This window comes from Homo sapiens, chromosome 5 (assembly GCF_000001405.40).
Source record: "Homo sapiens chromosome 5, GRCh38.p14 Primary Assembly".
Classification (NCBI taxonomy): domain Eukaryota; kingdom Metazoa; phylum Chordata; class Mammalia; order Primates; family Hominidae; genus Homo; species Homo sapiens.
The window spans coordinates 39,346,524-39,371,418 of record NC_000005.10 but is presented as its reverse complement, the minus strand read 5'-3'; the positions used below and the strand labels follow the sequence as shown (position 1 = coordinate 39,371,418).

Sequence of the window (24,895 nt, the reverse complement as noted above, 5' to 3'; positions counted from 1 at the left end):
CAGAACAACCTCAGCTGACATCCACTATAAAATCACTCATTAGTGCACTATTGGTTCATGCCTTTTACCCTTGGCTGCCTCTTGTTTTTTACTCAGTCATATTTGACCTCACCAAGACACGACTGTGTGGACTGCTCTAGGCTGGCACAGGCCCCTCTGGAGAGCTGTTGCATGAGGTGAGTGGGCTGATGAACAGATGTTTTTAGCATTAGGGCGCTCTTAAACTGTCTCACCTAGTATAAAAGTTCAAGGTTCTCATTCACTGCAAAAAGACCTGCAACTACAAGAAAGAGAATCCCAAGGTGGGCTTTGCATGGATATAGAAGTCTTGGTATTAAACCTAACTTTTCTAAGGAATAAGACATTTTGGGGTAGGATTATCTATTGGTGTATAATATTTTGGAATGTTCCTTATTACTGCCTTACCTTTCTCCTTGACTGAAACATTTGGTCTCTTTCTAACAATAGTGAGGTGGAATAGAAATACACTCCATACAAAAGCAGGTTCCAGGGGAATTGAAAGTAAGCCACAGATGAGCTAGAGAAGGCTGCTGATAAGAATATGTTGCACAAATTATCTGGCTTATCCAGGTGCTCTGCCGTGCGTCTAACCCGTTGAGCCTGTGTGTTATCTCCACGTGACTTAATCTGTGAGATCTTGCCACAGGTTAACTTGCTCGTGTGTACAAGAGGCGGACATTCCTTTCAGTGCAGTCGGAACTACTGTTGATCAAGCAGAGAGTGGCAGTTACTGAAGTGTCCCTGCAAAGTGGAAACACACCTGTTCCTTATACAGTTGGCTCTCCTAACCTCAGATTTCGCATCTGCAGATTCAACCAGCCACAGATGGAAAATATGTGAATAGAAAATAAAATAAAAATAATGCAGCAATTAAAATAATACAAATAAAAACAATACAGTATAACAACTATTTACACAGCATTTATATTATATTAGTTATTATAAGTAATCTGTAAATAATTTAAAGTGTATGAGAGAATGTACATAGGTTATATGCCATTTTATATAACGGACTTGAGTATCCGCAGATTTTGGTATCTGCAGGAATTAATCCTCCACAGATACCAAGGGACAACTGTAATTTCTTTAATAAGCAGTGGTATTCACACCTGTGTGCCAGAAGTTCAGCTTTTCATGGTAACCCTATTATCTTGGAAAGAGAGTTCCTTTACATATCAAATATATCTAAGCTAAAAGCTGAACTTTAACAGCCAGCATGCCCTTAAATTTCTCACATAAAAGGGAGAAGGTATAGACTTTCCCAAAATAACCTTGCATCTGTGAAGTACTTTACCATTTATGCAAAATAACTTTATTCCATTGATGCCATTCATAACCCTTTGAGGAGGGATCTGTTACTGTTGCAAGTCTTACTCAGGCAAGACTGGCATCCATGCTTTAAAAAAAGCTGCACTCTACCCCAACTCTTAAGGGAGTGTTTTTCATGGTATTTTATTACAAAACTGTGTGTTGAAGTAGAGAGATCCTTTCATCAATTGATCTCAGACTTTACCATCAAAATATTAACTGTGGTGTCTAGAGAGAGCCAAACAGAGGGTAATTTTGTGTCTTTCCTGAGGTGGAAGGAAAAGAAAAGGGGGGAAGGAACAGAGGATGTAGCTAACCCAGGAGTGTGGTTGACCGTGGAATAACCTGATGAGTGAGGACTCTGACCCATATTCCCGGAATACGTTTAATACAAAATCTGGGAAAAGATGGGAGCTGCCCCAAAGCCCCTGGTAAATATTTAAGCTATTACGATTTGAGGAGGTTGCTAAACAATAAAACAAATAATTATTGCTGGGAAATGGTATGTTTTGAACTAATTCCCTTCTGCTAAAAATAAAAACTCATGTTCTAGGCTGATATGTACAATATCAGCCTAGGGACATATACAAGGCTATGTACTGGCAGCAGCTCTGTTAACATGTTGTAATTACAGCAACGCTGATGGACAAGGGCCAGCCATTTGTCATCTCACCTGATGAGTGGCCAAGCCCCTCATTTGCCCTTGCTTGGAATTGTGTCCTGCATTTAATTACTAAACCTCTACCACATACTGAAATCATACAAGTGCTTGTCTCCAGCAAGACCATGGTGTGGGCTGCTCAGTGGCAAAGAAGCTGGCCTTCTGCAGAGATGAAAGATGAGGTTGTTAAAAATGGAAGGGAAAAAAAAACCCAACTCTGAAATTCTTTATGACTAATTTTTCCTTGTGATATTGGTTGTGGAGTTTTCTGTCAATTCTTTATTCACTTGGTTGATTTCAACCATTATTTTATCTTACTTACAAGAAAGCAGAATCATTGCTGCTCTAAAAGTTACAGGGTAACATGACTGGGCTGGAATTGAGTAGAGGATGCTTCTCGGGTGTGTCTGATGCTGCCTCCTTAGTGGAAGCTCTAAAATTTCACTGTGGCATTGCAAGACCTGTGGATCTTTGGACAGTCAGTAAGAAACAGCTATGGAATGGGGCAGGCATTCCTAATGAGATCCCTGGATACTAAGATCCCTTAACTTACTGCTAAGGGACTTTCAAGAAACTGTTTCCTTCACTATAAAAGAGTCAAATGGAAATGACCCTCAACATATTTATATCAAATCAGTAAAAATTAAGTGTTTCTGCCTGCTGGTCAAAGTTTTAATGTACATATGTCTATGTTTGCCTTAAAAACTGGGAAAAGTATTATTAAGCAAAAAACTTAGTTCACTATCACAAAGTTCCCAAGAAAATTGAAACTAAGAAGGGAACAAAGGGCAACTGAATGGCGAAAACCCTCAGCAGAGTGGAAAACCCTGGAATCAGAGTTTAAAGACATGGTTTGTTCAAATCTCACCCCTGCCTCTTCTGTGTAGCCTTGCAGGTATTTCTCTGAGCCTCATCTGTGAGACTAGAATAAAAGCTTACCTTCTATGGAGTTGACAGGACTCAGTAACGAATTTTATAGTAAAGTACCCTATAAGCAACATGACGTACTTAAAATAATAACAATAGTAGTAATAGCAAGGTAGGAAAAGCCTGAGATGTGGAGCCAGACATAGCAAGTACAAATGTGCAGTTACTCGTCCCTGGCTGACGCTGGACAAATGATGTAATCTCAATGTGTCTCCATTTCCTCAGCTGTAAAACAGATTATTTTCAGGATTAAATGAGATTGCATATATAAATATGGCCTGACACATATTAGAAGTTCAATAAACATTTATTTTGTTATTTGGAAGCCTTTAAGTGTTATACAAATGAAAATGTTACTATTTTCACTGCTCTAGTCTAATGCATGATGATGCTTTATTTCTCTGACATACACACAGAAACATAAGCCTCATTTCAAAACACCTCAGACACATGATAGATGTTAAGGACAAGAAAGAGTTAAAAGCATAAAAATGTGGAGCATATTATTCATATATTTTATATATTTATATAATATTTATGATTTTATATTATAATTATGCATTATATGTAATATATAATTACATATATTATAATTATATAATTATAATATGTAATATATAATATAATTTGGCTCTGTGTCCTCACTCAAATCTCATCTCGAATTGTAATCCCCACATGTTGAGGGAGGGACGTGCTAGGAGGTGATGGGATCATGGGGACGGTTTCCCCTGTACTGTTCTTGTGATAGTGAGTGAATTATGAGAGCTAATGGTTTGTTTGTTTGTTTTTGAAACAAAATCTCGCTCTTGTCCCCCAGGCTGGAGTGGGACAGAGCGATCTCAGCTCACTGCAACCTCTGCCTCCTGGGTTCAAGCAATTCTCCTGTCTCAGCCTCCCAAGTAGCTGAGATTACAGGCGCCTGCCACCACGCCCAGCTAATTTTTGTATTTTTAGTAGAGATGGGGGGTTTCACCATGTTGGCCAGGCTGGTCTCGAACTCCTGACCTCAGATGATTCGCCAGCCTCGGCCTCCCAAAGTGCTGGGATTACAGGCGTGAGCCACCACGCCCAGCCAGCTAATGGTTTTAAAGTGTGGCACTTCCTCACTCTTGCTCTCTCCTAATGCCATTTACGAAGTGCCTTGCTTTCCTTTCACCTTCCACCATGATTATAAGTTTCCTGAGGCATCCCTAGCCATGCAGAACTATGAGTCAATTCAACCACTTTTGTTTGTAAATTACCCAGTCTCAGGTGGTATCTTTTTTTTTTTTTTTGAGACGGAGTTCCACTCTATCGCCTGGGCTAGAGTACAGTGGTGCAATCACGGCTCACTGCAACCTCCGACTCTAGATTCAAGCAATTCTCTTGCCTCAGCCTCCCAAGCAGCTGGGATTAGAGTCACCCGCCACCATGCCTGGCTAATTTTTTTGTATTTTTATAGAGATGGGGTTTCACCATGTTGGCCAGGCTGGTCTTGAACACCTGACCTCAGGTGATCTGCCCTCCTGGGCCTCCCAAAGGGCTGGGATTACAGGGGTGAGCCACCGTGCCAGCCAGGTAGTATCTTTGTAGCAGTGTGAAAATGGACTAATACAATATATATTGCCAATATATAATTAATATGCTATTAGTATACTTTACTGCTGTCATTATTTTTCTACATTATATTTAACCTGAACTATGGTGATAAAATAAATACAACTGAGCAATTCAGAAAAGCCTCCTATTCAAACTAGTCAGCCAAAAATATCCCCTCACTCCCTCATCCCCCTTCCATTGATTTAGTCTCCAAAGAGACAGGTGATGTACAATCTCCAGTCACATCAACTTATCAAGTCTAATCATCACAACTTCTAATCAATTAGCATCAAATCTAGTTAGTATAAAGCATCCCATCCTGACTGCTTTTCAGTCTTTATTTCCATAAGTATCTTGATAGGGTCCAGAGAGGCCTCATAAGAGCCCTCAACATTGCTACAGCATTTTTCTTTTTGTGAGACAGAGTCTCACTCTGTTGTCCAGGCTGGAGTGCAGTGGTGCCATCTTGGCTTACTGCAAACTTTGCCTCCCAGGATCAAGCAATTTTCATGTTTCAGCCTCCCAAGTAGCTGGGATTACAGGCACACACCACCCCACCCACCTAATTTTTGTATTTTTAGTAGAGATGAAGTTTCACCATGTTGGCCAGGCTGGTCTCAAACTCCTGGCCTCAAGTGATCCACCCACCTCTGCCTCCCAAAGTGCTGGGATTATAGGCGTGCGCCACTGCACCTGCCCTGCTACAGCATATTTGACAGATTCATACTGTTTCCAAATGTAGCCCACCTGTTATTAGCCAAGACTCACAGGAAGTGTCTTTCAGGCATGGACTCATCCCATGACATAGTTACACGAGTTGTGGCATCCATTCGAATCATCTTATTACTTGGCAGTTCTGCATGGCCTACACTCCACAGCAAGCTCAGGAAAAGGTGAGATCAGTCCCATTGAAGACCTCAAGTTCTCTGCATAAAAAGGAGAGGGGCCAAGAAAGTGGGTGAGAGTAGATACCTTTTACCACAGGTAGGAATATCAGTAGAAAAGGTAAGGCAGTACTGGAGAAAATAGCTGTATATTCTGTCTTCCCTCAGCTCCACCCCTTGCTTTGCTGGTCTTTATATGTGCTAATGTTTGAAATTTGCCTATAAGTAATAATAATACTTATAAAGTCCCTTTAAGAACTATATCCAGAGATATCTGATGTCTTTCTTCTCAAGGTGGTCATCCTCAGTCTCAACCCTGGCTACACGTTAGAATGATCCGCAAAGCTTTTAAAAGCATGGATGCAGGGTCTCATCACAAGTCAATTAACTTAGAGCTGAGCAGACAGCGGGCAGCCATCACTACTGTTCTCAAGAGTCCCCAGGTCATTCTATTTTTGCAGTCAGTGCTTTAAGAGCAGTTGTGATGTCCACATTCTCTGGTGTTCCCAAAAAGGCACTGCTCTTCCCACAAGTGCTGGGAAGCATGAAATGTGAGGGGGAGACTATTTTTCATGGGTAGGAACAAGTTTTTCTGTCTCAGATTCTATCTTGTTGACATGTGTGATGCTGAGATAAGGAGACCACTCTTTCTGGTGGACGCCCTTAATGCCTTCGGGAGTTTACATCTCATTCTTCAAAATGTACCACTCGGCCTATAAGGAAAGCCAGGATTGTAAATGCATTTGCTCACGTGGAAATAACCTACCTAGCCCATTTGCAGATTAAAAAAAAAATGAAGCATCTACGTCTGTGCCATCCTTTCCACTAAGTGCAGTTCTTTACTAACTTTGACTTCATGCCTCCATGAGAAGCATCCACAGGCTTTTTTTTCCCCAAAATTGCATACTCCCTCATCTTCCACCCAACCCCTCGAGTCTTGCAAACTAAGAACTGCTGGGGGTCCTTCATTTTTGTTTCTATTTTTTTGTTTTTGTTTTTGTTTTTGTTTTGTTTTGCCGGAATTTTGCTCTTGTTGCCCAGGCTGGAGTTCAGTGGCCCCACCTCGGCTCACCGCAACCTCCGCCTCCCAGATTCAAGCAATTCTCCTGCCTCAGCCTCCAAAGTAGCTGGGATTACAGGCACCCACCACCATGCCTGGCTAATTTTTTGTATTTTTAGTAGAGATGGGGTTTCACCATGTTGGCCAGGCTGGTCTCGAACTCCTGACGTCAGGTAATCCACCCACCTCAGCCTCCCAACATGCTGTGATTACAGGCGTGAGCCACTGCGCCCGGCCTTTGTTTCCATTTTCACACAGCACTGCTGCCCATCTTAGGGACTTTAGCATTCACAGGCCCATTGCCCCATATCTACTTGTCAATATGAGAAAGCAGGAGGCCAAGAATTACAAAATGATTCTCCTTTGGTTGGACTTCAGTACCCAGGCCACCCAAATTGACAAAAACTCTGAATGCAGACAAACAATGCTTGTTCCCTGTCCTCTGGCCCTTTGCAAATAAATGCCTTACCAGACCTGCCCTGCCACCCCACTCGCAGCCACCCAGCAAGAGCAGCATGTCAGCCTGCCGGAGCTTTGCAGTTGCAATCTGCATTTTAGAAATAAGCATCCTCACAGCACAGTACACGACCAGGTGAGTCAGTTACTTTTCTGCTTGTCTCTGGAAGTTTCCTGTAGGATTAGCATCTCAAGGTCTTCTTAGCAGCAAAGTACATGACAATGTTAATCCACATGGCAATATACAGAGCCCTAGAATCTAAACTTCGAAAAGAGATAAGAAAATACATAGGGTGCATCTTTATGAGTTTTCTGTGGAAATGTGCTGCTGTTTCTGGGGATTTATTTTCAACAAGGCACTCAAATGTTAAGATTGAGGTATTCTTTAAATATCTGGAATTATAAAATAAAGCTTGTTTTCACCAGTGTATGATGAACCTGGGTTTATTAGTGCCTGATGTCTGAGAAGTTTAAAATTAAGGAAATTAATCTTTCCCTCACTCTGCTTCAATGCCTGACACCTTTAACATTTGGATACATCACCCTTTTGCCTCCACATTAGGCAAAGGTTAACTATTTTGTTTCTTTCCCTTGACATCCTGAGTTGTGTTCAGAGGCATGCATTTTGTTTAGGGCCATTTGGGATTTAGGTCATATTTCTTCCATTCCAGAATTGCAGTGATGCAGACCTGTCACTCATGCTTCTACCAAAGATACTTTTTCTCCTTTTTCTCTGATCCTAATCGGAATTGCAAAGCCCATGGCAAGTCATCCAGGAAACAAATCACCCATATAATAAGTTTTTATTGAACAGCTACACTGTACCTAGAAATGGTGGAGGTTAGGGTCACATGAGGCATCCTTCCTTCCATCCTGGAGTCATCAGAGTAGACATCGACCTGTATAATTCAATACAGGATGATCCGTTCTGGGGAGAGTACTGAAATATTCCTCACTTCAACAGTGTGGCTGGGGGGAAATGTCTGCCCAAGCCCTGTTCCTCTGCTCAGACATAACCATAACCTGCTTCCAATTCCTCATTAGTCATTTGACTCTTGGTTTACCCAAATGCTGTTTTGAACTTTGATGCCCGTCTCCAGTACATATTTGCCTGCCTCTTGGCTGCAGTTGGAGGCCGCCATTCAGCCTGGGCTCCACTCAACAAGTGGGTTATTCACAGGGCTGTATCTTTCAGGAGGGGGCACCCAGAGGTGCTACACAGATGAACATGGGCCCTGGATCCAGTGCTCGACCAGACCTTTCCTTCATCCCTCCTCTTTCCATATTATCTGTAAAGCATTGTACCATTCAGGAAATATTTTTGTTTAGTGGGCATCTGGGCACAAAAGGGATTTGGAAAGGCAGTTCCTCCAAGTTGCTTTAGCTCCCTTGAACTTCACCTGACCCTTTCTTAAGCTAAAAAATAATAATAATAATTCAAACAACCCACATTCCTAGATTGCAGCTCCTGCTGATCAAAAATGAGAGGCTGTGGGGAAGCTTTGATTGCTTTGAAGTGCGTACCCCCTGGGTCCTGGCCACACTCAGCTGTTTCAGGGAGGACCGGAAAGCCCCATTAGCTGGACCCCAGCTCCAGCAGCTGCACGGCTGAGTTTGGTTTGGTTTCGTGGGCTCCCATTGCTATGCCCTCTTGAGTTTGCCCCGGTTGCCCTGCTCTGAATGCTCTGTGCTTTGCCCTTTGACGGGGGTTGAGGTCAAAACAGAGTGTTCAGAGCCCTCAGTCATGAAGTGAGACGATTTGTTTGAATAATAGCTAACTGAAATTTGCAAAATAACTTTTAAAATCCTCTGAAGCTAGACTTCCCAGGCTCAGGTCAAGGTGCCTTTACTTACCAACAGTGTCATTTTGGGCGGGTTGCTTGGCCTCTCTGTACCTCGCTTCCCTCGTCTGTAAGATGTGGTTTTATTTATGTCCTGGGACTACCATAACAAAGCACCACAAGCTGGATGGCTTCAAACAAAAGAAATGTATTGTCTCACAGTTCTGGAGGTTAGAAGTCTGAAATCAAGGTGTTGGCAGGGCCGTGCTCCCTCCGATACTCTGGGAAGGGTCCCTCCTAGTTTCTGGTGGTGGCCAGCACTCCCTTGTATTTTATTTTTTGGTTTCAGATCATTTCAGTCTATGTGTCTATCATCACATGGCCATCTTCACATCATCTTCCCATTGTGTATGTCTTTATAAAAATGTCCCCTTTTTAAAAGGACACCAGTCATATTGGATTAGGGCCCACCCTAACGATGTCATTTTAACTTGATTACCTCTGTAAAGACCCTATTTCCAAATAAGGTCCCAGTCTTATTTGACACTTAGGACCAAATAATTATCTGGGGTTAGGACTTCAACATACCTTTCAGGGTTGGCGGGCAGGCACAATTCAACTCATCACAATGGTAATGATAGCATCTGTCTAATAAGGTTTTCGTTGTGAACATTAAACAGGTATACATGTAATGTCCTTATGACATCTGTGCCTGGCGCATGGTAAGAACTTAATAAATGCCAGGTATTTAAAAAAAATAATAACCTTCCTGTGCTTTCACTTTGCTATCTTTCTTGTTTAGGACGGAAGGGTTGGAATTACAGCTAGCCTTCAGGGCTCTCCCATGGCTTGAAGACATCTCATGCCACAGCTACAGTGACCTATTATTACTGGAGAACTGTCAGGGATTTCTAACTATTGTTTTTTTCTTTTTTCTTTTATTTTTTTACAAAGATTAATGTGCCCATGAGAACTGGCCATGAGGGGGACATCATCTCTTATGTTTCTCAAGGTAGAGCATCAATGTTTAAAACCACCATGAGAGTAGAATAGTAGCTCAGAGCGTTGCTTCTGGAGCCAGGTGGCCTGGGTTCGATCCCAGCTCCACAATTTACTGGCTCTGCGCCTTAAGTAAATTCCTTAACTTCTCTAAACCTGTACCTCACCTGCTAAATGGGAATAATAATGTGTCCTGCTGTGAGGAATACCTGAGATAACAAAGACAACATGCTTAGCACAGTGCCAGGCAAACAGGAAGTGCTCTGTGAGTGTAGCTATCATTACCTTTTCTCTCTAACTTGTAAATAACAAAATATGCACATGGTTCAAAGATCAAAAATAAAACAAGGTATACATTGAGTATCTTACTTTCCCTACTCATAACTTTCCGTGAGATTTGTGTTATTATATGTAAAGTATATATAAAGAGTTTAAAAACACTTCTTCGCTCCCACCTCATCCTACCTCTACAGGTTGTCACATATATAAGTTTCTGAGTATTCTTCCAGTACTTATTTTGTAGGTTAAACCATAGACTCATACGTAATCTTATTCTCTCCCAGTCTTTTGCAAATGATATCATATTATATATACTATTTTTTACTTTCTTTTACTTTCCTTTTTTTTTTTATTTACTTCATGGCATGTCCTGGATAACTTTCTGAGTCAATATGTGGGAACTTCCTCATTGTCATAGCTGATTAATTCTTACTGATGAACATTTGGGTGTTTCCAATCTTTCGCACTAGAAATAATGTTGCAATGAATATCCTTGTTTATATATCATTTTGTAAGTGGTTAGGTGTACCTGAGGATTAATTCCCAGAGTGATCTGAGTCAAAAGATAATCACTTTGTGACAGTGCTAAAATTGCCCTATTTGTATTATTTTGCACTTTCACCAGCAGAGTAAGAGTACTTGTTTCTCACAGCCTTGCGACAGGAACCACAGGCCAACCTTTTGATATTTGTCAACTTCATAGGTTAAAAAAAAAATAGGTATTTTGGCACGGTTTTAATTTGCCTTTCTCTTATTGAGTCAGATTGCACATTTTTTTCATACATTGAAAGGCCATATATATGTTTTTCTTCGCGAACTATTCATTTCCTTTGTCCATTGTTCTATTGAGTCTCCTGTCTTTCTCTTACATATTTCTATGATCACTTCATAAATTAGTCTTTGTCTCTGATATGAATTACACATATTTTTCCCAGTTTGTCATTCTTCCTTTGACTTTATGTGGTATGTTTTAGTGGAGTTACTTTCATATTTAATTTATTCTTCACTTTTTAAATAACTAAGGAGTACTAGATTGGGGTTTAGAAGACCTGAAAGTGACTAGTTACCTGGGCTCTGGAGAGAAGTTGTCCGGGTTTCAATTCCAACTCTGCCACCAAGTAGCTGCTGTCTAATCTGAGGGCAATTCCTTACCATCTCTGTGGCTCAGGTCCTCATCTTTAAAGTATAATAATAATAATAATAGTAGTAGATATCTAAGGGATGATATAAGAATTAAGTGAGATGATAAATACAAAGGCTTAAGGGAAGAATTCGTGACACATATAAGCACTCACAAATGTTAGCAACTATTATTTAATTTATTTTAATTCAATTTATCTCAACAATCTGGAAAAATATCCAAACATTCATTAATAGAAAAGTTTTGGATATCTAACAAACCAAAGATATTTAAAATGTCACTTTTTCCTCCTACTTTGGTTATATTTGCCTAAGTTTTTCATTTTTATATTCCATGCAAGTGAACAGATATTTATTTATGAACTACATTTGGCCAAATAGGATAATTTGTGTATTTGTCCATTTAATACAGCAAACAGTTATCAACTTTGTCGAATGAGCCAGACGTTGTGTCAGGAATTGCAGTATAATGTTGAACACATTACGGAGGGTCCCTGCCCTCACTGGGCTTACAATCTAGTGAGGAATGCTAACAAGGAAATGGCAATTACAACTCAGTCAAGTTCCCTTGTTGCACCTCAGCCAAGTGAGGCCTGTGATGCTCCTGTGAAGCTTCACCAGTCCACTTGCATACCAGCTTCCTCTGCTCTAGCCTAATCGAGCACTTTGCTCCAATAATGCTGCCACTTTTCTCCTGCAGCATCAATACCTCCCTTTTACTGAATCAATCTCAATGACATACAAACATATTTTAACTTAAAAAAAAATGGCACATTTCTCCACTTTACTCTAGACCCACTCCCTTGCATCCGGTCTCGTGGTATGAAATACCCTCTTATATTCTGACAACATCACATCTATATCTATGGTGAAACGCCACTTATACGCCGACATCCCCACATCTATACCTATGATGAAATACCACTTAGACTCTGACAACTCTCACATCTGTATCTCCAGTGCAATTGTTTCCCTGAGCCCAGTGACCAATTGCTTAGTCAACATCTCTTCTTGAAAAATCTAGTAGGCATCCCAAACATAACATGTCTGGAGAATACCTATTGATTTCTGTACTCGTCTCTACCCACCCTGCACCACCATTCTCCAAGTTACTTAGATTAAAACCTGGGAATCATACCTGAGACCTCTACGTGTGTCATTCCCACTTGCAACTTAACAGTGAGTCCTATTGGTACTACATATATATATATATATATATATACACACACACACACATATATATATACACACACATATATATATACACATATATATACACACACACACATATATATATATATATATATTTTTTATTTATTTATTTATTTATTTATTTTTTTGAGATGGAGTCTCGCTCTGCCACCCAGGCTGGAGTGCAGTGGCGCGATCTCGGCTCCCTGTAAGCTCCGCCTCCCGGGTTCACGCCATTCTCCTGTCTCAGCCTCCCTAGTAGCTGGGACTACAGGCGCCCGCCACCACGCCCGGCTAATTTTTTGTATTTTTAGTAGAGACAGGGTTTCACCGTTTTAGCCAGGGTGGTCTCGATCTCCTTACCTCATGATCCACCCGCCTTGGCCTCCCAAAGTGCTGGGATTACAGACGTGAGCCACCGCGCCCGGCCCGGTACTATCTTTAAACATATCCCAAACCTGATTGCTTTTCGCTATCTCCATGGGCACGACTCACTCCAGCCCAAATCACTATTATTTCTTGCCTGCCTCCATTTTTGTCCACTCCCCAGTAGTCAATTCTCCATCCAGCAACCACAGAAATCATTGGAAAACACAAACTTGTGTTACTTCTGCTCTCCAACTCTTCTAAGTATTCCTAGCAAGCTCAGAATCAAATCCAAACACCTGTCCATGGCCTACAAGGTGGAGCTGCACCCTTCCCTGTTCCCCAGGGCATTTGCACTCTCTTTTTGGCTCACTCTGCTCTAACACCATGCTTGCTGTGCCTCCAACATGCCACATCAGGGCCTTTGCACTTATTTTTCCCTTAGCTTGGAAAACTTTATCCAGACCCTCACAGAGCTTCCTCTCTAAATTCATTGAGGACCTTAATGGACTATCACCTTCTACTCTCTTTTTGTTTTGCTTTTTTGCTGTGTAACAACTCATTCCAAAATAGTATCTTAAAAGAATAGCAATTATTTCTTTTGCTCATAAATCCAGGGGTTGCCTGGGCTCAGCTGAGCGGTTCTCATGGACCTCCCACATAGGTGTAGTCAGATGGTGGCTGCAGCTGGGGTCATCTTGATGGCTTATTCACTCACATGTCTGTCACTTGGGCTGGGAAGACTCAATCAGCTGGGGAGCTGAACAACTGGGTGTCTTTAGGAATATCTCTCTCTCTCTCTCTCCACCCCATGCTCGTAGGTGGCTTCGTACACAGTGGTGAAAGGCTTTCAAGCAAATATCTTTAGATAAACCAGCAGAATTTGCATGGCCTTTTGTAACCCAGCCTTAAAATTCATACAGTGTTACTTCCTCTGCCTTCTACTCATCAAGGCTGTCACAAAGGCCCAGCCAACTTCAATAGAAGCACACATAAACCCTACTTTTGATGGGAAGAGTGTCAAAGAATTTCTGGACATATTTTAAAAGCACCACACCACCTGCGAGAGGATTCTTTCACTGCCCTCCCTCCCAACTCCAGTCCTAGGGCAGTCTCTATCCTCTTACCCGGTCTGCTTTGTTTTCCTTCATAACTCACATGTCTTAAGAAATATTGCATGTTGTATTTTCTAGCATACTTGCTTATTATATCTCACCCACTAGAGTGTAGGCCTCATGATGACAAGGACATTTTCTGTCTTGCAACCTTAGCCACTAGAACAATTTCCGACATGTACCAGTTCCTCAGTAAAGGTTGGTGACCCTTGGCTCATTTAAAGCACATGAGAGAAGCTCTGAAATAAGACTTGAGAAATCAGGAAAGGTTCGTTAAAAACTTAAGTGTTTGACACTGCTGTTATATTATCTTTTCATCTTGACGAGTTGCATGAACTAAAGAAACTGTGCCAAATCCATTGGTTAAAAATGTAGTCCTAATTGGCTTATATTTCTCCCCTCAAAGAAGCCACATTATCATATTTATTGACCAAAAGATTCCTTCATAAAGTAAGTGCTTTCCTGTCTGGGCCTACCACAAAGTATCCTGGAATTTGAGGTGCTACTGAGGCTTTCTTTTTCTAAAACTGGAAACTTTTCTTCATGGCAGGATAATAGGACCAGGCGTATATCAATGACTCTTCATTTGATGCATTTCTGGCCCAGAGGTAGATCTCCTGCCATGTTGATGTACATCACTTTGATCTAGGAAGTGACTTTCAAGCTGAGATTGAAACACTTGGAGATACGTTTTATTTGATAAACACATTTCATCTAAGAATCCAGAAAGTGCTTTACAAATACTTCTCCACTCAGCCTAATAGCACAGCAGGGTAATAGGCAGGTGGTAAGTGTTGTACATATGCAGTCCTTGAACTACAAAAGATGATCTGCTGAGTGAGTTAAGTGGGCTGAGGAGGGGGTGTTGGGCTCAAAGGATGAAAGACAGAAGAAGCTATTCAAGATCACCTATGTTCTTTCTTAGTATTTATGCAGCATATTCTTTCAATAATATATTCTTTTTGCATGACTTGTTATTCTCTGCTAAAAATTCCCATGAGTTCTGCCTTCACTGTGCTTCCAGTGAGCCAGGTAGCTGGCACAGTGAAGGCAAAACAACCAGGTGTTAAAACAATTTTCAATTTATTTTTGCCTAATTTGACATCATTTAGGTGTAAGCTTAAAGTAGGTCCAGGCAAGCGTCAGGCTGTCCCACTGACGTGCTTTGCCTGGGGCTGCTATATGTTTAAAAATACTTGCATTCTTGTCCACTTGCTGTATCTCAAGATGTCTAAAAGGCATGAGGCTATTAGATGCAGAAGTTACTAAATATGCTATGACCACTCAGCTTATTTCAAAGAGGATTTAGGTTTGGGGGAAAAAGCCAGCACAGGAGACAGGGAAACATTGCACTGAACTAAGAGCTAAGAGTTGTCGAGTCTAGACCCAGTTTTCTACTAACTGTTCAACTTTGGATAAGTAGTGTAATTCTCCATTTTTAGTTTCCCATCTATAAAAAAGAACTAGTAATGCTTACAAAGTTTACCAAGAAAAGGTAGAGTAAAGGTTAATGAGAAAATGAGCTTTGAAAATTGTCTAGTAAAATGAATAGACAAATATAAGGGTTTACTTAATCAAAATCATTTATGAGTGTTATGGGCTGATCTCCCCCCATCCTCTGCCACTACTACCACCATTTCATATGTTGAAGTTCTAACCCCCAATACCTATTAATGTGACTGTATATTCAGTTAAGGCCTTTAAAAAGGTAATTAAGTTAAAATGAGGTCATTAGGGTGGGCCTTAATCCAATACGACTGGTGTCCTTATAAGAAGAGGAAATTTGAACACAGACACCAGGGAAGGCCATGTGAAGACACAGGGAGAAGATGGCCATCTACAAGCCAAGGAGTGGGACCTCAGAAGGAGTCAACACAACCATATCTTGATTTCAGACTTCTAGCCTCTAGAATTGCAAAAAAATAAATTTCTGTTGTTTAAGGCACCCAGTCTGTGGTACTTTGTTATGGTGGCCCTAGAAAACTCATACACTGAGCTTAACATCCAGAGAATGTAAGTCCTAGTCCCAGGGCAAGAGAGTGATATGTAAGAACCTTCCTATGGTGATAGATTGAATCATTCAAAGAATGAATTCAAGTCACAGTCCGGGAGAGCAATAAAAGATAAAAGGCAAAGATCTGGTGCTTTCTATTAAGTCCCAAGCGTGAGTCATACTTTTAATAAAAAAAAACAAAAAGGAGTCCTTGGGTTAGAAGCTAAGAAGGAAGTAAATAAGTGTACACATAGTCAACGAGGTCCTATTATTATTGCAAATCATGTTAGAGAACTGTCTAGAGGTAATGCCAGTATCATTGGAGCAGGGTCTAGTCACTTACGTGTGGGAAAGATGAATAGCCCTGGTTGGGTTCTAGATTTATCCAGTAATGGACTGTAACTCACTCTGGAGTATTTGCAGTGAGTTTTACCTTCCATGCATGATTCTCCAGTCTGTACAGTATCCTCTGAACCAGCATTCACTGAGGCTTGTCTGAGTGGCAGGTGAGAAAGATGAGGTTTCTGGAACCAAGGAAGTAATCTATCTTGGGGAAATGTTGAAACAAAATGTTAACATATTCATCTAAGTAAACGACAAATACAAAAGTAATAGACAAAAACAGATAATCCAGTTCAAGGCAACAACAGCACTAACACTGGAGAAATCAGACATTAAAAAGATTCATAGAAATGTTAATAGAGCCTAGAGCAATTCCTGAAACCAATGATGTTCCAATGAGATTCCTTTACCTCCTAGTGTAATTTAGTTTTCTATGTACATAGCATCTTGTCTCATATTTCATTTAATTAAGTATTTACTCACTTATTCACTCATTTATTCATTCATCAAATATTTATTAATTTCCTATTATTAGCTATGCAGGGGGTTACAATGGTATTCAAAATAACAAAACAAAACAAAAACCATGATCCTCAAACTAACTAGCTAGAGTTTACATTCTAGCTAAAAATATCAGTGAGCTTGGGGACATTTCTGTTTTGTTCAGCTTGAATATCAAATACCTGGAACATAGTAGGTACTCAGAAAGGATACCAGCTCAGTGACAATTTTAGGTCTATGGTGGTTTCAATCTTGGGTAATGATATAATGAGTACTCCTACACCTACTTGAGGTCCACCCTTCAGATATCATGGATTTCCACCAGATGTTGCTAAGCAGTGTTTCTCAACATTGTTTGAACATGAGAATCACCTGGGTAACTTTTTAAAAACATTGATGCCTAGAGCCAATCCTCAGAGAGCTTGATTTAATCAGTATAGAATGGGGATCACAATTTTACAATTCCTATTTTTAATATCTAAGGATTATGATATGTACTTGGTATTGAGACCCACTGCTATAGGGCATTAAGGTGTATGTGCTATTGCCTCTTGATGTGGCCTGTCAGTTCCAGATGAGGCTGTAGTTTTATGGAAACATTCCAGCAGAGAATTTCTTAGTCATGTGGTTTCAGATATGCACTAGTACTCAGACTTCCAAGAAAGCAGGTTCTTCTAGACGTTTTGGCATCCCATGTAATACATTTTTAGCCTGCAATTTTAGAAGATGAAGCTCATCACACCTCCAGATATTCTGGAAGGTGTAGGCAAGGGCCAGGCTTACAAAAATGCCACCTCCAGCCAGGAAGCCTGCCTTGCAATCCTTGCTCAAAAACCATGTGGATGATTCCCCAGGAGATCACACCCTAGAGAGATACAGGCCTAGATTTGGCCAAAACCCCATGACTAAGGACTTCCTTCCTCCTCTTTCAATTATTCAATTATTCATTTAAAAAAAAACCCTTCCTGAGTACCTATTATGTTTCAGGTATTTGATATTCAAGCTGAACAAAACAGGAAAGTCCCCAAGCTCACTGGTATTTTTAGCTAAAATGTAAACTCTTACTTTGGGGATCATGTTTTTTGTTTTGTTTTGTTTTGAACACCATTATAACTCCCATGCTTAGCCAATAATAGGAAATTAATATATATTTGATGAATAGATAAATGATGAGTGAATAATTAATTCAATGAAATATGAGAACAAGATGCTATAAGAATATGTATATAGAAAACTAAATTACACGGGGAGGTTAAGGTGGATTCCCAGAAAAATATAATGTGTGTCCAAGATGAGATCAATGTAGTGAATAGTGAATAGCATGGTTAAAAGCCTGAAGACATGAGAAAAAGTGGCTTGTCTTGAAATTTTAATGTTCAGTGTAGCTGGAGCTTAAGTGGAGTAAAGTAAAGTTGGAGAATTAGGAAAGGGATAGGCCATGTAGAGCTCTCAAGGCATTGTGCTTTTGTTTCCTATCACAGCTGTAACAAATTACTACAAACTTAGTGGCTTAAAACACAAATTTATTATTTAACAGATCTAGAAGTCAGAAAATTGAATTAGGTTTCACTAGGCTAAAATCAAGGTGTTGGCAGGGCCAGATTCCTTTCTGGAGGCTCTAAAGAAAAATCATGTCCTTGCTATTCCCAGATTCTACAGCTGCCTGTGCTTCTTGGCTCATTGCCCTCTTCTTCCATCTTCAGAGCCAGCAACAGCAGGTGGAATCCCTTTTCATGCTTTGAATTTCTCCTGCCTTTTCTGTCTTCACATCTCTCTCACCCACTCTTCTCCTTTAAAGAGCCCGTGTAATCAGAGTGGGCCCAACAAAATAATACAGGATGATCTCCCCATAATCACATTTCCAAAGCCCCCTTTGCTGTGTAAGGCAACATATTCACAGGTACCAGCAATTGGAACAGGGATATCTTTGAGAGTCGTTATTCTGCCTATTGCATTATGTTAAAAAAAAAAAAAAAAAAAAACTTAGACTTCATCACAAGAGTGGTGGGAAGCTACTGAAGGTTTCTCGTAACTGAATGATAAGATCAAATTTGCATTTTTAAAAGACCCCTCTGGATGCCTTCTGGAAACTGAATTAGAGAGTAATTTTTGTAGTCATCTAGGAGATATATAATGTTGGTGTAGACAAGAAAAACATCTGAAAGAGATGAAGAGAATGGATGGGTTTGAGAATCATTTACAAGACTGTAACAGCAAATTTTTGTGGTTGACTAGATGGCATAGATGAGGATTGGAGTGCAGGATGAGACAAGTAGCACCAGGTCTCTGATTAGAATGACTGCATAAATGGAAGTGCCATTTGCCAAGACAATAAATACAAGGGAGAAGCATATTTGAGAGGGGAGAAAAATTAACGCACTCATTTGGGAATGCATTGAGTTCAGTAAGTCATGAAGACCTTCAAGTGCAAGGTCCAATTGGAAGTTGTATTCAAAAGTTTAAAGTTCAGGAGAGATGTCTGGGCTGCTGACTTATCTCTGGGTGTCTGATATGGTTTGGCTCTGTGTCCCTACCCAAATCTCATGTCAAATTGTAATTCCCATGTGTTGAAGGACAGGCATAGTGAAAGGTGATTTAATTATGGGAGTGGACTTCCCCCTTGCTGTTCTTGTGATGGAGTTCTCGTGAGAGCTGGTTGTTTAGAAGTATGTAGTACTTCTCCCTTCACTCTCTGTCTCCTGCCACTATGTGAAGATGTGCTTGCTTCCCCTTCACCCTTCCACCATGATTGGGTTTCCTGAGGCCTCCCCAGCCATGCCTCCTATACAATCTGTGGAACTCTGTGTCAATTCAACCTTTTTTCTTTAGAAGTTACCCAGTCTCAGGTAGTTCTTTATAGCCATGTGAGAACAGACTAATACAGAAAATTGGTAACAAGAGCGGGACATTCTTTAAAGATACCTGAAAATGTGGAATTGACTTTGGAACTGGGTAACAGGCAGAGGTTGGAAGAGTTTGGAGGTCTCAGAAGAAGACAGGAAGGGAAAATGAGAGAAAATTTGGAACTTCCTAGAGACTTGTTGAGTGATTTGGGCCAAAATGCTGATAGTGATATGGACAATGAAATCCAGGCTGAGATGGTCTCAGATGGAGATGAGGAACTTATTGGGAACTAGATCAAAGGTCCTCTTGCTATATTTTATCAAAGAGACTGGTGGTATTGTGCCCATGCTCTAGGAATCTGTGGAACTTTGGACTTGAGAGAGATGACTTAAGGTATCTGGTAGAAGAAATTTCTAAGCAACAAAGTGTTCAGAATATGGCCTGGCTGCTTCTAAAATCCTATGCTCATTCGCATAAGCAAAGAGAACTTATATTTAAATGGGAAGGAATGTGTAAAAGTTTGGGAAATTTGCAGCCTGACCATAAGGTAGAAAAGAGAAACTCATTTTCTGGGGAGAAATTCCAGCCAGCTGCAGATATTTGCAAAAATAAAGAGGAGCCAAATGTTAATAGCCAAGACAAAGGGGAAAATGCCTCCAGGGCATTTCAGAGACCTTTGTGGTAGCCCCTTCCATCACAGGCTTGGATATCTAGGAGGTAAAAATGATTTCATGGACTAGGCCCAGGGCCCCACTGCTCTGTGCAGCCTTGGGACATGACACCCTGCATCACAGCTGCTCCAACTCCAACTGTGCCTAAAAGGGGCCAAGTACAGCTCAGGCCATTGCTTCAGAGGGTACAAACCCAAGCCTTGGTGGCTTCCACATGGTGTTGGGCCTGCAGGTGCACAGAAGGGAAGAGTTGAGGTTGGGGACCTCAACCTAGATTTCAGAGAATGTATAGAAATGCCTGGATGTCCAGGCAGAAGTTTGCTATAGGGACGGTGCCCTTGTGGAGAACCTCTACTTGGGCAATGTGGAGGAAAAGTGTCAGGTTTGAGCCCCTGCACAGAGTCCCTACTGGGGCACTGCCTAGTAGAACTGTGAGAAAAGGGCCACCATCCTCCAGACCCCAGATTGGTAGATCCACCAACTTGCCCTGTGTACCTGGAAAAGCTGCAGGCACTCAATGTCAGCCCATGAAAGCAGCTGCAGGGTCTATACAGGCAGCGGCACAGAAGCAGAGCTGCTCCTTGCATCAGCATTCCCTGAACATGATTAGTGGAGTCAAAAGAGATCATTTTGGAGCTTTAAGATTTAATGACTGTCCAACTGGGTTTTGGACTTGCATGGTGCCTGTAGCCCCTATCTCTTGGCTGATTTCTCTTTTTTGGAAAGGGAGCATTTACCCTATGCCTGTACCTTGGGAGTAATTAACTTGTTTTTGATTTTACAGGCTCATAGGCAGAAGGGACTTGCCTTGTCTCAGATGAAACTTTCAACTTGGACTTTTTAGTTAATGCTGGAATAAGTTAAGACTCTAGGGGACTGTTGGGAAGGCATCACTGTGTTTTCAAATGTGAGAAGAACATGAGATTTTGGACAAGCCAGGGTGGAATGATATGGTTTGGCACTGTGTCCCCACTCATCTCCCACGTTGAATTGTAATCCCCACATGTTCAAGGAGGAGCCTGTCGGAAAGTGATTAAATCGTGGGGCTGGACTTCCTTTTTGCTGTTCTCATGATGGAGTTCTCATGAGACCTGGTTGTTAAAAACTGTGTAGTACTTCCCCCGTCACTCTCTCTCTCCTGATGTTATGTGAAGATGTACTTGCTTACCCTTCACCCTTCTGACATGATTGTAAGTTTCTGAGACCTTCCCAGTCATGCCTCCCATACAGCCTGTGGAACTGTGAGTCAATCAACCTCTTTTCTTTATAAGTTACCTTGTCTCAGGTAGTCCTTTATAGCCATGTGAGAACAGATTAATACAGTGTCATTAGCATAAACATGAAAACCAAAGTTCTGGTGAAAATATAGAGAAAAATAAGAGAGAGAGAGAGACATCCAAGGAAAGGATCTCGAGGGAAAATTAGTATTTCAAGGACTATCAGAAGAAGAGGCGCCTGCATAAAAGAGTAGGAGTACCAGGCAGAGAAGAAAAAAGAAATGAAAGAAAGACCCTATAATCCAAGAGAAGAGAGTGTCCTGAAGAGCAACAGTGGTGAATACATTGAATGCCATGAAGCAGTCAGTAAGATAAGGACTGAAAGGAACAGTGAGGCACATGGCAGTCATCACGGAGTTGGGCAAGAGCAGCGTTCACAGGGCAGGAGGGTTGAGAAGTGTTGGGATGTAGGAAACAAGAGACGAGGGTGCTCACTACTTTCTCAAGAAACTTGGCTAAAAGAAAAGAGAATTTAGAAGTAACTAAAAGGGCATGTAGAGTTTGAAGGAGATAAGACTTGTTCTTTGGATGTCAGAAAGACATAAATGTGCTTCCAGCATTTATTCTAAGAAGTGTTATTGTGAAGGGCAGGAGGGAGATGGTAGTGGTTGGAAGAAAATGTGTAATCAGGGATGGTGCATGATTTGTTCATTCCTTGGCTTTTTATGTTTAATATCACAAGCTTGAACACTTTATATTACAAATGGAAAGGAGATAGTAGAGAGGGAGAGTTTAAAAGGAAGGAGATATTCAATGAATCAGAGTCTCTAAGGGGAGCTGGGATCTAGAGAATTTGAGGAGAGATTGGCATCACCTAGTCTTTTCTGTGTTTTTTTTTTTTCCTTTTTTGTTTATTATACTTTAAGTTCTAGGGCATATGTGCACAACGTGCACGTTGGTTACATATGTATACATGTGTCATGTTGGTGTGTTGCACCCATTAACTCGTCATTTACATTGGGTATATCTCCTAATGCGTTCCTTCCCCCCTCCCCCCCACCCCACAACATGCCCCAGTGTGTGATGTTCCCCACCCTGTGTCCAAGTGTTCTCATTGCTCAATCCCTACCTATGAGTGAGAACATGCAATGTTTGGTTTTTCGTCCTTGCAATAGTTTGCTGAGAATGATGGTTTCCAGCTTTATCCATGTCCCTACAAAGGACATGAACTCATCCTTTTTTATGGCTGCATAGTATTCTATGGTGTATATGTGCCATATATTCTTAATCCAGTCTATCATTGATGGACATTTGGGTTGGTTCGAAGTCTTTGCTATTGTGAATAGTGCCACAATAAACATACGTGTGCATGTGCCTTTATAGCAGCATGACTTATAATCCTTTGGGTATATACCCAGTAATGGGATGGCTGGGTCAAATGGTATTTCTAGTTCTAGATCCCTGAGGAATCGCCACACTGACTTCCACAATGGTTGAACTAGTTTACAGTCCCACCAACAGTGTAAAAGTGTTCCTATTTCTCCACATCCTCTCCAGCACCAGTTGTTTCCTGACTTTTTAATGATTGCCATTCTAACTGGTGTGAGATGGTATCTCGTTGTGGTTTTGATTTGCGTTTCTCTGATGGCTAGTGATGATGAGCATTTTTTCATGTGTCTGTTGGTTGCATAAATGTCTTCTTTTGAGAAGTGTCTGTTCATATCCTTTGCCCACTTTTTGATGGGGTTGTTTGCTTTTTTCTTGTAAATTTATTTGAGTTCTTTGTAGATTCTGGATATTAGCCCTTTGTCAGATGAGTAGATTGCAAAAATTTTCTCCCATTCTGTAGGTTGCCTGTTCGCTCTGATGGTAGTTTCTTTTGCTGTGCAGATGCTCTTTAGTTTAATTAGATCCCATTTGTCAATTTTGGCTTTTGTTGCCATTGCTTTTGGTGTTTTAGACATGAAGTCCTTGCCCATGCCTATGTCCTGAATGGTATTGCCTGGGTTTTCTTCTAAGGTTTTTATGGTTTTAGGTCTAACATGTAAGCCTTTAATCCATCTTGAATTAATTTTTGTATAAGATATAAGGAAGGGATCCAGTTTCAGCTTTCTACATAAGGCTAGCCAGTTTTCCCAGCACCATTTATTAAATAGGGAATCCTTTCCCCATTTCTTGTTTTTCTCAGGTTTGTCAAAGATCAGATAGTTGTAGATGTGTGGTATTATTTCTGAGGGCTCCATTCTGTTCCATTGGTCTATATCTCTGTTTTGGTACCAGTACCATGCTGTTTTGGTTACTGTAGCCTTGTAGTACAGTTTGAAGTCAGGTAGCATGATGTCTCCAGCTTTGTTCTTTTGGCTTAGGATTATCTTGGTAATGAGGGCTCTTTTGTGGTTCCATATGAACTTTAAAGTAGTTTTTCCAATTCTATGAAGAAAGTCATTGGTAGCTTGATAGGGATGGCATTGAATCTATAAATTACCTTGGGCAGTACGGCCATTTTCACGATATTGATTCTTCCTATCCATGAGCATGGAATGTTCTTCCATTTGTTTGCATCCTCTTATTTTGCTGAGCAGTGGTTTGTAGTTCTCTTTGAAGAGGTCCTCCACATCCTTTGTAAGTTGGATTCCTGGGTATTTTATTCTCTTTGAAGCAATTGTGAATGGGAGTTCACTCATGATTTGGCTCTCTGTTTGTCTGTTATTGGTGTGTAAGAATGCTTGGGATTTTTGCACATTGATTTTGTATCCTGAGACTTTGCTGAAGTTGCTTATCAGCTTAAGGAGATTTGGGGCTGAGACAAGGGAGTTTTCTCAATATACAGTCGTGTCATCTGCAAACAGGGACAATTTGACTTCCTCTTTTCCTAATTGAATACCCTTTATTTCTTTCTCCTGCCTTATTGCCCTGGCCAGAACTTCCAACACTATGTTGAATAGGGGTGGTGAGAGAGGGCATCCCTGTCTTTTGCCAGTTTTCAAAGGGAATGCTTCCAGTTTTTGCCCATTCAGTATGATATTGGCTGTGGGTTTGTCATAAATAGCTCTTATTATTTTTAGATACGTCCCATCAATACCTAATTTATAGAGAGTTTTTAGCATGAAGGGCTGTTGAATTTTGTCAAAGGCCTTTTCTGCATCTATTGAGATAATCATGTGGTTTTTGTCTTTGTTTCTGTTTATATGCTGGATTACGTTTATTGATTTGCATATGTTGAACCAGCCTTGCATCCCAGGGATGAAGCCCACTTGATCATGGTGGATAAGCTTTTTGATGTGTTGCTGGATTCGGTTTGCCAGTATTTTATTGAGGATTTTTGCATCAATGTTCATCAGAGATATTGGTCTAAAATTCTCTTTTTTTGTTGTGTCTTTGCCAGACTTTGGTATCAGGATGATGCTGGCCTCATAAAATGAGTTAGGGAGGATTCCCTCTTTTTCTATTGATTGGAATAGTTTCAGAAAGAGTGGTAGCAGCTCCTCCTTGTACCTCTGGTAGAATTCAGCTGTGAATCCATCTGGTCCTGGACTTTTTTTGGTTGGTAGGCTATTAATT

The 24,895-nt window shown here is 40.8% G+C and overlaps 1 protein-coding gene across 1 annotated transcript in view; it reads left to right on the top strand.

Moving 5' to 3' along the window:
- The window catches only part of C9 (complement C9), an 80,356-nt gene continuing 62,384 nt past the window's right edge, over window positions 6,924–24,895 (top strand). Inside the window, exon 1 of the mRNA NM_001737.5 lies at window positions 6,924–7,031. Within this exon, the coding sequence (NP_001728.1) occupies window positions 6,955–7,031 (77 nt within the window). The 5' untranslated portion in view covers window positions 6,924–6,954. The remainder of the gene's footprint in view (window positions 7,032–24,895) is intronic.